The following is a 16,951-nucleotide window of genomic DNA, read 5'->3' on the forward strand; positions in this document are numbered from 1 at the left end:
GTTTCCATTTTCTCTGTCAAATAAGAACATTATATCAGCCAGTGAGAGTGGGATTGGAGATGGTGTGCGAGATTGAAAAGAGCAGAGAAAGATTAAAATAGCAGCACTGGAGAGTGGCAGTGAGATGACTAAGGTAGCAAACAGATTTCTGGGCAGTTATCATGGCCCTGTCGAGGTTAGTGACCATTAATTTTCGGAAGCAGCAGTCTGCAAGGTTGTGTAATATGCATTTTTCCCTCAACAACATTCAGCCACCTAGTGGTGGGTACACAGAGGTTAGTTTAATTGATCTAGGTTTGGGTTTTACCAGGCGGATACAATGGAAGGACAAAGGACAAGGAAGTTGAAGATTGTGGCAAAACAGTGATTGAAATGAAGGGCCTTAGTATCTAAACTGGATAGGAGAGTGAAAAAAAATGTATGGACTAGAGGTCCCAGTGAAGTCAGAGAATCCACATCTGAGATCATTGAATGAGGGAGTTGTGATCAGAAAGTGGAAGAATGAAGTTTGAGTAGTTTCCGGTGATGACAAGGTCCACTGTGTGGCCGTGGGAGTCAGTGACCAAAGTGGAGTACAGGAGACAGTCAGGATGCTGATGTGGCCACTGAACTCCCCCTGGATGATAGAAAGACTTGAGGGGAGGGAAGGGAAGAGGATGCCCGTGAGCTAGGTACCAGTCTCTGATGGGCAGAGCAGGTTTTTCTGGAGTCTCTAGGTGACAGCATGAGGAGGGGCAAAGGCTGAGACAGCTAAATGGTATGACCCTTGAAGTAGTAAGGGCTTTTACAAGAAGGAGGTGGAATAAGGAACTGAGTTGGGCTTTGGCAAGGAGACATGAGGCCCCCTCCTAAACCTGAAATCCTGGGGGTGTAAGAATCTAAACAGATTCTACCAGGAGGGCCATGCAGAAGGGGAGCCCTGGGGTAGAGCCAGCTTTGGATGCAGGCTGGAGGTGGGCAGGTGACTGGAGAGGCTGAGGATGGAGGAGACTTAGCTGATTGGGAAGAAGGGTTTTCAAGAGCAGAGTAAAAAGGTTGGGAAGGGAAGGAAGGCTGGGAAATGGGTCGAGGAAGATGAAGCATAGAGCAGTGAAGGGGCAAGGAGAGTGTGGTTGACCTCGCCAGTTACATGTTGTGGAGAGAGGATGAGGGCAGGTCTGTGGAGCAGTGTTGGAGGCAGAAGTGAGTCTGGGGAGAAGAAGAGTGGGGGCTGTGGGTAGGAATGAGGGCAAGTGGGGAGAAGATGAAGGCAGAGGATTTCATAGGAAGGAGATGGGGGAAAGGAGTTCTTGTGGGGAGAGGATGGAGAAAATGGACAGATGTGAGGAAAAGGTGGGGGCAGATGGAGTCTACCAGGAAGTGATGAGTAGCAGGGGTAGGGGTATCTGCCAGGGTATGACTGGGGAGCAGAAGAGGGTCCATGAGAAGGAAGTGACAAATTGGAGTGCATATGCCCCTGGGAGAGAAATAAGGACACCTTGTTTGGAAGTTTGAGGAGATAATGTTTCTCTCTCCCTATCTCTGAATGGAGAACTGAGAGTTAGGAGTCAGGGACGGGAGCCCAAGGAGAAGGCCTGTCTCATTCTACATGTGAAACCTACAGGAATAGGAGGCAGTGACTTGCTTGTTGTCTCCGAGGCCATGTGGGGACAGTGAGCCAGGCTGGCAACCCATGCCTTGGAGGCCTCTTTGCTTTCAGAAGGTGTCTTTTGATTTGCCGGGGGGGTGGGGAAGCCCTCTGGGAAATTTTATTTAGAAACAAGACCTATTGACCTCTTGATTTTTAATACCTCCCCTTCGCTTGTTGCCAAGGACCTTTGGCTTAGCATGAGAGCTGAGGCTTTTGAGATTGTGTGATTTTAGTTTCCCTGCATGAAGAAGAACCATTTGGCCACTATAGAAATGATTTATGGATGAGTCCAGATTTATTAATCACCTCTGAAGATGGAGAGGAAATTAAAAACAAAGAGTCCACTCTGGGCTGAAGACAAAGTAGGTCTGTTATCCTTGCAGAAGACTTTGCCAAGGTTAGAAGGCCACAAACAAACCAATTTGGACCGAGGTTCTTAATCTGGATTTTTAATTTCGCGTGCTTGATTTTTTGCACCGTTTTCTCTCTGAGGTAAAATAATGACTATTTTAATTGGCTGCCACTTACAGAGAGATCCCAATAAGCATGATGGCATACATATATTTTTCTCTGGCATTCCATGTGTGCTCCAGTTCTTATGATCAAGCTGGTGAAGCTGACTTTTACTGCATGCTGCATGCCATGATCAGTTGACTATAAATTAAATCTTCTTTTCCAAAAGCCATTTTCCATTAGTGCTAATTTGTTTGCTTCTCATTTCCACTGATCATTAGAGTCTCTGGTTGTGAGCACCAAATTGGAAATAATTTCTGTGACATTTCAAAAAAAATTTCTCCCCTTCTTGAATGCCATTTGGCTGCAGCTAAATAACATTATGGTTTACAGAAGAACAGTTCACTCCAATTACAATTTAACTGACCGTTCATGGCACTGAATCCCTGTCCTTAGTGTCCAAAGATGACACCGCTGCTGACATTGCTGTTTCCTGTCATAGCTGTAAAACACCTCGTAGACTTTGCACTGGCCTTCTTGGATGGAGATTCTGCCACTCCGCACATGGCAGCTTTGGGAAGTTGGTAGTTTTATGGACCTGCATATCATGGACATTCAGATATAATCATCTCAACAGGAGCTGGGTGATTTCTTCACACATTCACTCAGCGAGCATTTATTCAACATCTGTTTTGTGCCAGGCATTATGCCAGGTCCTAGGGACACAGAGACAGGGAAGACCAACCCCTGCCCTTGAGGAACTCACACTCTAGTGGGAAGGATGGGTAAGTTTTAAAGCATATTAGAGGAAGAGGTGGCATGGATGGGACCAGAGCTGCAAACCCCTAGTTGTCCCAGGGAGTTTGCCAAAGGGCAAAAAGGAACCTGGCCATTCCTGATGGCAGAGCAACACTGAGATGCAGAGGGCCCTGGAAGGGCCTGGGGAGTTGAGAGTGCAAGGTTGTTGTAATGTGGAAGTGACTAGAGATGAAGTTAGATTGGGGCCAAGTTTGTTTGTTTGTTTGTTTGTTTGTTTGTTGTTTTGAGACACTCTGTCACCCAGGCTGGAGTTCAGTGGCACGGTCTTGGCTCACTGCAGCCTCAGCCTCCCAGGTTCAAGTGATTCTCCCGCCTCAGCCTCCCGAGTAGCTGGGACTACAGGCGCGTGCCACCACACCCAGCTAATTTTTGTATTTTTAGTAGAGACGGGATTTCACTATGTTGGCCAGGCTAGTCTCGAACTCCTGACCTCATGATCCACCGCTTCAGCTTCCCAAAGTGCTGGGATTATTGGCGTAAGCCACTGCGCCCAGCTGGGGCCAAGTTTTGAAGGGCCTTGAGTGCCATATTGGGTTTAGACTTTATCCAGTAGGCCACAGTGAGCTAATGGAGAAATCTGGGGGTGAAGCAAGTAGGAAGGGTAGAAGCTTACGGAAAAAGTAGTTAGGAGATGGCTTTGTTTGTATATTTATTTGGGTTGGTGGGGATTGAGCAAGTGTTTAAGAGGAGTCAGGGAAGATGGGAAGATTGAAGACAGGAGTAGAACCTAGTGCCCACGGAGAGGGTGGGTGCTGATACGATGATCGTAAGAGGAGAGGGTTGCGCTTGATGGCCCCTATATTCTCTGTGAAGTTGGAAGCAAAGTTATCCAGGCATCCTCCTTGATTCCTCCCCGTCTTTTATCTTCCACAGCCAGTCAGTCACCAGGCCCTGTTTCTTCAAATGGTGTGACATTTCTACTTTTCTCCAACCCTAATATCATCAGCGTCTTTGTCAAGGCCGTAGGAATGACTTCCTAACTGGTGCCCCCACCTCCAATTTGCCCCCTTCCGATCCCCTTTTTTTTTTTTTTTTGAGACGGAGTCTCGCTCTGTCACCCAGGCTGGAGTGTAGTGGCGTGATCTCGGCTCACTGCAAGCTCCACCTCCCGGGTTCACGCCATTCTCCTGCCTCAGCCTCCCGAGTAGCTGGGACTGCAGGCGTCCACCACCATGCCCGGCTAACTTTTTGTATTTTTTAGTAGAGAGGGGGTTTCACCGTGTTAGCCAGGATGGTCTCGATCTCCTGACCTCGTGATCTGTCTGCCTCAGCCTCCCAAAGTGCTGGGATTACAAGCGTGAGCCACTGCGCCCGGCCGTGAGGCTCCATTTCTAAAAAATTTTTTTAAGTTAGCCAGGCATGGTGGTGCACACCCATAGTCCTAGCTACTCAGGAGGCTGAGGCAGGAGGATCGCTTGAGCCCGGGAGTTCAAGACTGCATTGAGCTATGACGGTGCTGTGCACTCCAGCCTGAGTGACAAGAGTGAGCCCCTATCTCGAATAAATACACTGATAAATAAATAATAATAAAGATAGGTAAAAATCAAGGCTAACAAGAAAAATGCCTAAATAGAGGGGTTAAGGATACAAGGGAGGCAGGAGTAATGAGTAGAATGAGGGCCCTGAGAAGGCGGGGTGGATGGAGGCAGAGCTCTGGTAGATGGCTAGAGAAGGAGAGGAGAAGGATGGATGTGGATAGAGATGAAGAAAGAAGAGGAGTATGACGACATTCTTACCTAATGGCCTATAACTTTCTTTGTTAAACCCAAAAGTAGGCCTTCTGAGAATAGATGGAAGAGGTGGGAAGGTAAGGAGCTTGGAATTGTAGACTTCATAGGTGGGATGGTGCTAGCCAGTCACAGATTTGGGGTGTGGGTTTTGGGTATGAAAGCTGTGTTGGTTGGAGGTGAAAGCGGGAGGTCGCTGGAGTCTGCATTCCATGTCTCTTCTCTGTGCGCCAACAGAACCTGGGATATATCCCATCAGAGCGCTCTCCACTGTTCATTAAAATCACCTTTTTGCTTGTCTCTCTGCCCTGCCAGTCTGTAAGCACCCGAGGGCAAGGTCTATGTTTGTCACGTTAACCAATCCCAAGCCCAGTGCTCGGCTCAGAGTTGGCACCTGGGAATCTGTTTAATTAACTAATGTGCAGAGCTAAGGAAATTAAAGTGCACATTCTGAGCACAGTGTGTTGGATGTCAGTTTAAATAACACTTATTGAGTGCCTGTGTTTTACCAGAGACCCTGCTAGCCACCCAAATTACAAAGATGGAGCACACTGATGTTGAAATTGCCTAGTGGCTCTTGAGTAAACAGGAAGGCTTACGTGTCAAAGTCATTGATCGGCACTGCGGCAAGGTAGAGAGGGAAAGACAGATGGCCTGACCTCAGAGGAGGAGGAAGGGTTCAGGAACAGTAGTAGGGATTTAGAGAATGGTGTTTGAGGTGTAGGATAGTGGGCAGCCCCCTTCCTGATTTAGAAGCAGCAGCAGCATGGGTTGAGGCAAGGGGTGGGGTGGGGTGTCAGGTTTCACCTGGGGCCGAATTTAGATGGAAATTCTTTGGCCTGAAATGTTTGAAGCTTTATCCTCAGGTAGTAAGGAACCACTGAAGAGTTTGAAGCAGTGAAATCTGTCAGATTTGTACTTTTAAAAATCTCACATCAAAGCCTGGCCTGGTGGCTCACACCTGTAATCCCAGTACTTTGGGAGGCCGAGGCAGGAGGATTGCTTGAGCCCAGGAGTTTGACACCAGCCTGGGCAACGAAGCAAGACCCCACCTCTACAAAAAATAAACAAATATAAAAATAAAAATTAGGTGGGCATGGTGGCATGCACCTGTAGTCCCAGCTACTCAGGAGGCTGAGGTGGGAGGATCACTCGAGCCCAGGCGATTGAGGCTGCGGTAAGTTATGATTGTGCCACTGCACTCCAGCCTGGGTGACAGAGCAAGGCCCTGTCTCAAAAATAAAAATAAAAATAAAAAATCTCACATCACTGTGGAGTTTAGGCTGGGGCAAGCCCGAAGACCAGTGGAGGCTGTTGCAGTAATCCATATGCGGAACAAGGGTGTGAAACTGAAATAGCGGCAGTGGAGGTGAAGACAGACAGACTGATCTCAGGGAAATTTAGGACATGTAATTGGCAGGAGCTGGCAACAGTTCAGATGAGGGCAAGGGAGAGGAATAAGTCAAAGACAACTTTTGGCTGACTAGGAGGGTGGTGACCCAAGCACTGAAATAGGACCAACACAGGGCAAGGGGCAGGTGTGAGTTGATGAGTTCAGTTTGGGACCTGTTGACTTGAGGAGCCTGTGACACATACCAGTGAAGAGTCTGCCGGTCACTTAAGTACATAAAGAGATCTGGAGCTCAGGTGGGAGGCCCAGACTGAGGAGACGGATTTGAGAGTCGTGCGCCTATAAATGTAATTTGAAGTGATGGGGTGAATGAGGTCACCCAGGGATTACAAAGCATGAGAAGAGAACTAAGAACGGGAAAACGACCTGCAAAGGCACTATCCTGCAATGGCAACTGAGGATTCAGAGAGTCTGGAGTAGAACCAGGGGATTCTGGGGTTAGGAAAAGAGTCATTCACAATCCATCAGAGAGACCAAGCACGCTGGGACGGTGAGCTAAACCACTAAATCTGACAACAGGAGATTATTGGTGACACCTTGGAGCACAGAGGAGAACAGGATCCATGCCCTTGGCTTAGTGGGGAAAAACCTGGACTTTGGAGTTATATGCAGATCTAAGTTCAAATCCCATTCCCATCCCTATTTGAGACCTTCAATAAATGAGCAAACCCTTCTAAACCTTAGTTTCTTCATCTGAAAGTTGTGGATAATGATGACCTCCTGAGGATCTTAAGAGGATTAAAACAAAGAATTTAGGCAGGGTGCGGTGGCTCACACCTGTAATTCCAGCACTTTGGGAGGCCAAGGTGGGAAGATAGCTTGAGGCCAGGAGTTTGAGATCAGCCTAGGCAACACAGAGAGACCCCATCTCTATAAACAAAAACAACCACAGAGAGAGAGAGAGAGTGTGTGAGTGTGTGTGCGTATGGTGTGTGGATAGCTCTTAATCAACACTCAAAAAATGTCAGTTTCTTCTCCCTGCCTTCATTCCTTCTGCCTTCACCAGGAAACACAGCTAACATCACTTTTTCCTTAGCGGTCAACAAGCTTAGATACAATTTATCCCAGCAACTGACTCTTGAAATTGACACATTTTGGTCTTTTTTCCACTGTTTTCATCTTATTAATTATTTTTAAAAATGGTAGTTAATGGGTCTTTTTTTACCCTCATCAAGCTTACTATTAAAGAAAGGTTGAGATAAATAATACATGACTGGAGGCTCTTAATTAAATATACTTAATGTCTTTTATCTCCCCCTACTTCTGAAAAACCTTAGTGACATAACCCCGCTGAAGAAATATAAAAAAGCATTCAGTCACAAAAGTTCATGGAAGGAGGCAACAGGAGATGAAAGAATTCAACAAATATTTGGAAGGCAGAAGGCAGGTGCAGGGAGGCTAACCGGCTTGAAGCAGAGGAAATTGCAAGCAACTGCCAACAAGGGGAGCTTACCAACAAGAAACCAGTCAATTCAGCCAGTTTGACCTCTAAGAGGCTTAATGCTTGAAAGCACAAATTACCACTGAAGGTCAGAAATGAGGTATGGAGCCCAACCTAGGGGGATTCACTGACCTCTGTGTGCAGAGCACTTGCCTGCACTCCAGACCCTCAACCGCCAAGAAAGAAATGACTCTAAACTTTCTTGCTGCATGAAGAGGAAGGAAGTTGGACTCTGTAGGCCTCCTTGCACAGGGACCTCAGGCAGGGCTTGAAGGGCAGGAATGAGACATAGAGTTGAAAACTGATGAGTAGAGGGAAGGTCTACACACAGCATTGTGTGAGCCCTTCCCCCACCTGACTCCCAACATGCCATGGCGAGGTGTCTGTAATAGCACCCCTGCTCTCTCACCCTCCCTGGGAAAGTAGGAAAGTCTTCTCCAGAGACCCTGATATCTCTATGAGGGTGTTAAAAAAAAACAAACAAGCTTCCACTGACTGACATTTATGAATTCCCCAGTGAGAAGACTAGTTGCCTAATAAATATCCAAACACTGAAGGATACAGTGATTTAAAGAGCCCACCAAGGGCCTACTATAGTAAATTAAAAAAGACCTTCACCAAAGCATATCATTATACAACTTCAGAAAGGTTTCAAAATCATCAGGAGTGAAAAAAATAGACAAAGGCACAGGAATCAGAATGACTTCAGATTTCTCATCAGTAACAGCAACTGGGGAGGGTGAATCTGAGGGAAGCTTTTTTTTTTTTTCGAGACAGGGTCTTGCTGTGTTGCCCAGGCTGGAGTGCAGTGGCGGGATCATAGATCACTGCAGCCCCGACCTGGTCTCATTCGATCTTCCCACCTCAGCCACCTTAGCCTCCCAAGTAGCTGAAACTACAAGTGTGTGTCACTATACCTGGCTAATTTGGGGGTGAGGGGATGGAGGTCTCACTGTGTTGCCCAGGCTGGTCTCAAACTCCTGGGCTCAAGTGATCCTCCTGCCTCAGCCTCCCAACATACTGGGATTATAGGCATGAGCCACCATACCTGGCCAGATAGCTTATTTCTTTTTTTTTCTTTTTTTTTTTTGAGACAGAGTCTCACTCTGTCACCAGGCTGGAGTGCAGTGGCACAATCTCGGCTCACTGCAACCTCCACATCCTGGGTTCAAGTGATTCTCCTGCCTCAGCCTCCTGAGTAGCTGGGACTACAGGCACGCGCCACCACGCCCAGCTAATTTTTGTATTTTTAGTAGAGACGGGGTTTCACCATGTTGGCCAGGATGGTCTTGATCTCTTGACCTCGTGATCTGCCTGCCTCGGCCTCCCAAAGTGCTAGGATTACAGGCGTGAGCCACCGCGCCCGGCCCAGATAGCTTATTTCTAACGCGGAGTTATATACCCAGCCAATCCAACATGTGGTCAAAAACAATATTTTTAGACTTTCCAGGACAAAACAAGGGAGTACACAAAGAAGGAAGAAGATGTGAGAGACAGGAAATGGGCATCCGTCAGAAAAACTCGGCAAGAGGAAATCCCAGGACAACATTTGCATACTGGCCTTAGTGAGCAACCAGTCTAAACTATAGTAGAAAGAGATCTGTGGGACAGAGGTTTCCAGGGAAAAGATGGAATTAATCAGTTACAGATTGAACATTTGGAAAAATAATCACTACATATTTGGGACATTTGGAATGAAATAGCCCTTGGTACTTCAAACCAAACAATAGGAAAAAAATGACAATTATTAACTCCAGGTAAAACCAAACTGTAAGAAAAAAATGTAATAGTAGTTTGCTACTTGAAGAGTTTATTTACTTGATCAGTCATGTTAACCTGCCGGGCACAGTGGCTCACGCCTGTAATCCCAGCACTTTGGGAGGCTGAGGCAGGCAGATCACTTGAGCTCAGGAGTTTGAGACAAGCCTGGCCAGCACAGCAAAACCCCATCTCTACTAAAAATATAAAAATTAGCCAGGTGTGGTGGCACATGCCTGTAATCCCAGCTACTCAGGAGGCTGAGGTAGGAGAATCGCAGGAACCTGGGAGGCAGAGGCTGCAGTGAGCCAAGATCACACCACTGCACTCCAGCCTAGGCAACAGAGTGAGACTGCATCTCAAAAAATAATAATAATAATGTAAACACTATTGATTTAACTCTAAAGTATGGGAAATAATGTTGGAGGATAGAAAGAAAAAAAATGGGAGTTAGAGTGGTGCAATAAAACTGATTCCTCCACTGGGCAAGGTGGCATGCGCCTGTAGCCCCAGCTACTCAGGAGGCTGAGGCAGGAGGACTGCTTGAGGCCAGGAGTTTAAGGCTGCAGTTTACTATGATCGTACCTGTGAATAGCCACTGCACTGCAGGCCGGGCAACATAGTGAGACCTCATTTCAGAAAAAAAAAAAAAAAAATGAAGACCTAATTCCTCACCTGCCAGAATGATAAATACATAAATATTGCCTAAGGTTGATACATCGAATGATAGCAGTGTATTAGTTTGCTAGAGCTGCCATAACAAAGTGTTATAGACTAGATAACTTAAATGACAGAAATTCATCATCTCACAGTTCTGGAGGCTGGAAGGCTGAGATTACAGTGTCACAGGGTTGATTTCCTCTGAGGCCTCTCTCCTTGGCTTGCAGATGACCATGTTTTCCCTGTGTCTTCACCTGGTTTTCTCTCTGTGTATGTCTGTATCCTAGTCACCTCTTCTTATAAGGACACCAATCATATTGGATAAAGGCCCACCCTAATGACATAGTTTAAACCTAATTTCCTCTTTAAAGACTGTATCTGCATTTACAGCCACATCCCGAGTTACTGATGGTTAGGACTTCAACATAGGAATTTGGGGAAAACACAGTTCAGCCCATAACAAGTAGTATAAGCTCGTTATTTGGAAATACAGGGGTAAACAGCAGAAAAAATAGCCAAAAGAGTTTAAAGTAGCCTCCTCTGTGAGGAGAAACTGGAGGGCAGCAAGAGGTGAGGCAGGTGCTATTACTATTTGATTTTTTTCAAAATAGCAAGTGGCGGAGCTGAGCCTTGAACCCAGTCTGACTCCAGATCTCATGTTCTTCCACTCTCCCCCAAGAGTAGGAACTCCTCCAGCGCCCTGCAGCATCGTATTCATCTTTGCATCTCCCACGGTACCTTATACAGAGCCACAGGATGGGCCTTCACCACATACATAAGATTTACAGCTGCATCACAGTGACGTTTAAAGCTGATGTTTGTTGATGCTTCTTTTCCTGTCTTCAAAGAAGATAGGGGAGACTGAGGTCCAAGGAAACATTGAGGAGCCGTAATGTGCCCTGCTTAGAGGTCCCTGCCTTTGGCGTCCTGGAATCGCTGGGTGCATCTCTAATGGCACATTGAGTTTTGATACTAGAAAGGGTCCATTTAAGGCAGGGCAAGGGCACACGGTGCTTTCCTGCCTGATAAAGCTAGTGGTGGTGTCTCAACCCCACCTCCCTGGGGTCTAGAACAGCCATTCACCCCCATTTTCTTGATGTCAGTTTGGCAACTGAAGGCAGCCACAGCCTCCCTAGGTTATTCTCAGATTTATGACTGCAATGGCATTCACAGTGATTGATGCAGGATCCCATGAGGGGGTTTGGTCATTTTTGTGTTCAGGTTGGTCCGCAGTCATTCACCTGGTTCTTAAGGCCAGCTAGATTTCGTGGTTATCTCCATCCTGGAGGCTGCGTGGACGCCCTTCTGGAAGCACGCATCCCATGTCCTCTGGGGAGTAGTAGAGGTTGGTGTGTATGTATGTCTGTCTCCGCATGCCTCAGATTATTGCTTCCTAATAAAATTCTGATAGCTGGGCCCCATCAATATCTCAAATACATGTGAGGAAATGTTAATTTAGAATCAATTTTAGGATGTTTCAGACTGTAAAGTCCTTTTAACTAGATCTCTGGCGAAGATGTAGAAGCACTTTATGGGACTGTAAATTTCATGTTGAACAGTCTTCGTGAAATACACATCTCTCCTACACACAAGCTGTTCTCTCCATATCAATCATGGCCCCTGCAAGTAATGTTTCACAAATATTCTGTAAATCACAGAAAACTCCATGATAATGTGAAATATGACTTTCACTTGTCTGTTAGACAAAAGAATCACACATGCCTCTCTCCCATCAGCACTAACATTTGTTATGGATAATAACACTTTCAATCACAACTATTTTTGGAAAACAGGTTTATCTTAAACCTTCCCTCCCCCCACTGAAAATACTCTCCCAAGGACACAGACTCCTACAAACCACAGCCCATTAATCCAACTATGGAATGGGAACATTTTCTTCCCACTAACTTTTTTTTAAGTTGTTTTTAAGAGTTAGTGTAAAAGCCCGAGGTACAAGGTTAAGGAGCACTTTAACTTAGGTGATTGGCATAAGAGGGAGGCCATGTCTCTCAAGACCTCAAGCCTCTGACCCTGTATGAAGTAAGCCACAAGAGAGGCCCAGATTTTGTTTGTTTCTTGTTTTTCTTTTTTTAATTTTTGTGTTTTTTTAACACAGTCTCACTCTGTCGCCCAGGCTAGAGTGCAGTGGCGCGATCTCGGCTCACTGCAACCCGCCTCCCGGGTTCAAGGGATTTCTCCTGCCTCAGCCTCCCAAGAGCTGGGATTACAGGTGCCTGCCACCACGCCCAGGTAATTTTTTGTATGTTTAGTAGAGACAGGGTTTCGCCATGTCAGCCAGGTTGGTCTCAAACTCCTGACCTCAGGTGATCCACCTGCCTGGGCCTTCCAAAGTGCTGGAATTATAGGCATGAGTCACCACGCCCGGCCTTGGCAAGCACTTTTATCTCAGCTGGATGCTCTGGTCTTTTAGTTGCTGGCATCAGTAGGGACGCCAAAGAGCTAAAATTTTAGTTCTTAAAGAGCAGACATTTAGCACACTGATATTCTTAATCCCATTACACTCCAGCTAGAGCCTCCCTGTTCAAGCAGCAGGTGACCAGTTCTAGAGTATATTTTGCGCATAACTACATCCATTTGCATGATAAAGCCACACCCTGCCTGCAGTTGATTGCTAGAAAAATAATGGAGTTGCATGATTCTAAACATTCCGGTAACCTGTCTCTTTTCCCTCCCTCTGTAGCCAACTTCAGGACTGATTGATCATGACTTCTATAAAGGAGCAGGCAGCAATTAGCAGGCTCTTAAGTTTTTTACAGGAGTGGGACAACGCTGGCAAAGTCGCAAGGAGTCACATCCTCGACAAGTTCATTGAAACCAACCAAGGCAAGACTGCCCCTGAACTGGAGCAGGAGTTTTCCCAGGGAGCCAGTTTGTTCCTGGTACGCTTGACCACCTCGCTTAGAATCACGTATCCTTTACTGAACAGAAAAAAAAAAATTAGGCACCGGGCACGGTGGCTCACGCCTGTAATCCCAGCACTTTGGGAGGCCAAGGTGGGCAGATCACAAGGTCAGGAGTTCGAGACCAGCCTAACCAACATGGTGAAACCCTGTCTCTACTAAAAATACAAAAATTAGCCAGGCGTGGTGGCAGGTGCCTGTAACCCCAACTACTCAAGAGGCTGAGGCAGGAGAATCACTTGAACCCGGGAGGCAGAGGTTGCAGTGAGCCGAGATCATGCCACTGCACTCCAGCCTGGGCAACAGAGTGAGACTCTGTCTCAAAACAAACAAACAAACAAAAATTAGGCAGCCTTCAAAAATGAAAAGGAGAGGAGATTGTCAAAGGGGTTTTCTCTTGATTCTGATATTTTAGAACAGACATCTGGTGTTTAAAAAAAAGTGATAAAAAAAAAATCCTTAGAGTCAAGAACTCTCTCAGCTTCCTGTGTTCCCAACCTATAATTGTATTTCTTTCTCACCCCTAACCTCTTTTGCTCCCATCAGAGTTGAAGTAGGTATACCTTCTGTCTAGGGCTAATCCTCTATTTGTACTGCACTTGAACCCTTTCCTATCTCCTTATTCTTTCTCTCCTATAGCTTTCACCTTTGCCTCATAACCAGCGTTTTTTCAGCATTTATATATGCTGAAATCTCTTCTACTTTAAAAAATAAAATTGAATCCCTGTTTCAAATCTATATTCCACCCAACCCCAATTTCTGCCCTTCATGGTGAAGCTTCTTTTGTTTGTTTGTTTATTTGAAACAGAGTCTCTCTCTGTGGCCCAGGCTGGGGTGCAATGGCACAATCTCAGCTCACCGCAACCTCTGCCTCCCCAGTTCAAGTGATTCTCCTGCCTCAGCCTCCTGAGTAGCTGAGACTACAGCCATGTACCACCACACCTGGCTAATTTTTGTATTTTTAGTAGAGACAGGGTTTCACCATGTTGGCCAGGCTGGTCTCAAACTCCTGACCTCAAAATGCTGGGAGTACAGGCATAAGACACCGCGCCCAGTGAAGCTTCTTGAAAAGGTTGTTGAGGGGCGGGGCGCGGTGACTCACGCCTGTAATCCCAACACTTTGGGAGGCCGAGGTGGGCGGATCACCTGAGGTCAGGAGTTTGAGACAGCCTGGCCAACAAGGGAAACCCCGTCTCTACTACAAATACAAAACTTAGCTGGGCATGGTGGCACATGCCTGTAATCCCAGCTACCCGGGAGGCTGAGGCAGGAGAATCATTTGAACCCGGGAGGCGGAGGTTGCAGTGAGCCAAGATCGCGCCATTGTACTCCAGCCTGGGCCACAGAGACAGACTCCATCTCAAAACATTTTTTAAAAATTATAAAAATAAAGGTTGTTGAGTCTCCCTGTCTCCACTTCCTCTCCTCCCTTTTCTCCACTTGCTGCCATCTGACTTCGGTGCCTCCCACTCCACTGATGCAGGTCTTGCTAAGGTTACCCATGTTTTTCCAGTTGCAAAACCCAGGGACTGCATCCTCAGTCCTTATAGGTGACCTCTCAGTGGCATTTGTCAATCAACCTTTCCCACTTCTCAAAACACTCCTGGTTTCTCTGATACCGATTATCTTGGTGTCTATGCATTTCCCGCTCTTCTTCAGCCACCCCTTAAATGCTGTTCCTTGGGATTCCATCCTCGTCCCTCTTCTCTACTCACTCTCAGATTCTCCCTGAGGGACTAGTTCATTGTCAAGATTCAACACCACTCTTGTATGAGGGCTTTCAAATAAGTATCCCTGCCCAAATTTCTCTCTTGAATCTGAGTTCCATACCTATATATCCAACTATTCCATACCCATATATCCATCTTCACTCATATGCCACAAGATGAGTGTCACATATCTGACTTAGTAAACTAGGGGAATATGGTGCCATTATGTGGAAGAGAACATAAGAAGAGGAGTAAGCTTGAGGGTAGATAAGCTTGTTTTGGGACATGTTGAGTTTGAGATGTCTGTGCTCAGGATCCCTGGAGGCAGGTCAAGGCTAAAGACAGATCTGGTCACCGTCAAGGTGATAGTTCAAGTTATAGGAGGATTTGAGGATATTCCTGCTCTGTGTGCCCATAGCACTCTACAGATTTATCTCAGACCCTTTTATTGTATATTTCTGTCCTTGCCTGAACCCTCTCGCCTTCTCTAAACCCCTTCCTTGACCCATGCACAGTGACTTACACCTATAATCCCAGCTACTTGGGAGGCTGAGGAGGGAGGATCACTTAGGCCTTGGAGTTTGAAGCTGCAGTGAGCTATGATCACACCGCTGTGTTCTATCCTGGGCGATGGAGCAAGACCTCATCTCTATAAAAATAAATAAACCCCCTCCTTATTTGACCAACTCCTACTCTATTATTCAGGTCTCAATTTAAACATCACTTTCTCAGGAAGCCCATTTCTGAGTCCCAGGCTAGCTTAGGTTCCCTTCTTATATATATTCATAGACTTCCTCTGCCTTAATAATCATAACATTTTATTGTTATTACCTGCTTAATATCTCTCTTTCCCCCCACTGGATTTTAGATCCAGTGGGCAAGAATCGCATCTGTTCTACTTATCTTTATATTTCTAACATGTAGCACAATGCCTGGCACATGTTTGCTGAGTAGAGGAATGAATGACCCAGCATCTGCAGCTGGGAAGAATTAAAGGTTTAAGTAAACACTGCTCTCTTTCTTACATTTAAGTTATTGATAAAATTATTTTTCAGACTCAGGCCTGTAACACAGGCCAAAGGGAATAACCATGGAATACATCTGTAGGTTTACCCAAATGTTCTTTTTTTGTTTGTTTGTTTGTTTGAGACAGGGTCTTCCTCTGTTCCCCAGGCTGGAGTACAGCAGCACAATCATAGCTCACTGCAGCCCCAAACTCCTGGAGACTCAAAGGATCTTCTCACCTCAGCCTCCCAAGCAGATAGGACTATAGGCGTGCACCACCACACTCAGCTAATTTTTCTGTTTTTAAAATTTTTTTAGACACGGGGTCTTGCTATGTTGCCCAAGCTGGTCTCAAACTCCTGGCCTCATGCGATCTTCCCACCTTAGCCTCCCAAAGTGCTGGGACTACAGGTGTGAGCCACCACACCCAGTCTGTTCTCAAATATTATTGTGCATAAAAGAGGTTTAAAATGCAGATTACCAGTTACCTATCCACCCACACTCCCAAGGTTCTGCTTTAGTAGATTGAGGGTGGAACCCTGGACCCTTATTTCTAACAAGTACTCTGTGTGGCTGTAGTGCCAGTGGTCCCCGGGTTATGCTTTGAGAAACATTGCTGCCTATAACCTGGCTCCTGTCCCCACAACTCATGACACTAGCCTCACCAAGTCCCTAGCTTTGTGGCCAAATCTAGAGTTCCTTTTTCCTTCCTTGTCTTACTGAACAATATTTTCCACTTGGCCACAGGGTGAGATGAGTAAGCCAGGGTGGTACAGGTGCAGGGTCAGATCCTGTCTATTTAACACTGTGATGTCTTATTCATCTCATCATGGATTTGTTGTTGTTGTTGTCTGAGACAGAGTCTCACTCTCACTCTGTCACCCAGGCTGGAGCACAGTGGTGCCATCACAGCTCTGCAGCCTCAACCTCCCGGGCTTAAGCCATCCTCCCACCTCAACCTCCCAAGTGGCTGGGACTATAGGCATGCACCACCACATCCCCAACTAATTTTATTATGTTTTTGTAGAGACAGGATCTTGCTGTTGCTGTTTCCCAGGCTCATCTCAAACTCCTGGGCTCAAGCAACCCTCCCACCTTGACCTCTCAAAGTGCTGGGATTATAAGTGTGAGCTACCATGTCTGGCCCATCATGGACTTTTTATATTAATTTGATTGTTTTAAATAGTGCATTGAAATATTATGTGATTACTGAGTTTTTTGGTGCCCCTTTTAATTTCAGACCCCAAGCAAGTGCCTCCCTCACCTCACCCTAGTCCTGGCCTTGCTTGACCACTGCCCCCTCTTAAGCTGTCCTCTCTTCTACCTTTTCCCGCTGTTTCTCAGTTGCTATTGCAGGATCTCTCCCACTCCAATCCCCCACTTAAATGTCAGTGTGTCTGAGCATTCTGTGCTTTTT

General features: G+C 46.2%; 1 protein-coding gene and 1 long non-coding RNA gene across 28 annotated transcripts in view; one reads left to right on the forward strand and one right to left on the reverse strand.

Annotated features, from left to right (window-relative positions):
• The window catches only part of ARMH1 (armadillo like helical domain containing 1), a 50,878-nt gene that overhangs the window by 2,362 nt on the left and 31,565 nt on the right, over positions 1-16,951 (forward strand). For 18 of the 27 annotated variants that reach the window (XR_007059336.1, XR_001737140.2, XR_001737141.2 and 15 more), the window contains exon 2: positions 12,601-12,828. Coding sequence is in view for 22 of the 27 variants with exons in the window: in XM_011541341.2 (XP_011539643.1) it covers positions 12,623-12,828 (206 nt within the window). In the remaining 5 variants the exon portion in view is untranslated. Of the gene's footprint in view, positions 1-7,317; positions 7,582-11,120; positions 11,245-12,015; positions 12,150-12,600; positions 12,829-16,951 lie in introns of all 27 variants that reach the window. The other 9 variants (XM_011541340.2, XM_006710603.3, XM_011541345.2 and 6 more) reach the window with 9 other exon arrangements.
• LOC105378690 (uncharacterized) overlaps positions 11,239-16,951 on the reverse strand; it is a 36,515-nt gene continuing 30,802 nt past the window's right edge. Inside the window, exon 5 of the long non-coding RNA XR_007066059.1 lies at positions 11,239-11,519. This is a non-coding gene — a long non-coding RNA (uncharacterized LOC105378690). The remainder of the gene's footprint in view (positions 11,520-16,951) is intronic.

Source organism: Homo sapiens, chromosome 1, assembly GCF_000001405.40.
Source record: "Homo sapiens chromosome 1, GRCh38.p14 Primary Assembly".
In the NCBI taxonomy this organism is placed as follows: Eukaryota; Metazoa; Chordata; class Mammalia; order Primates; family Hominidae; genus Homo; species Homo sapiens.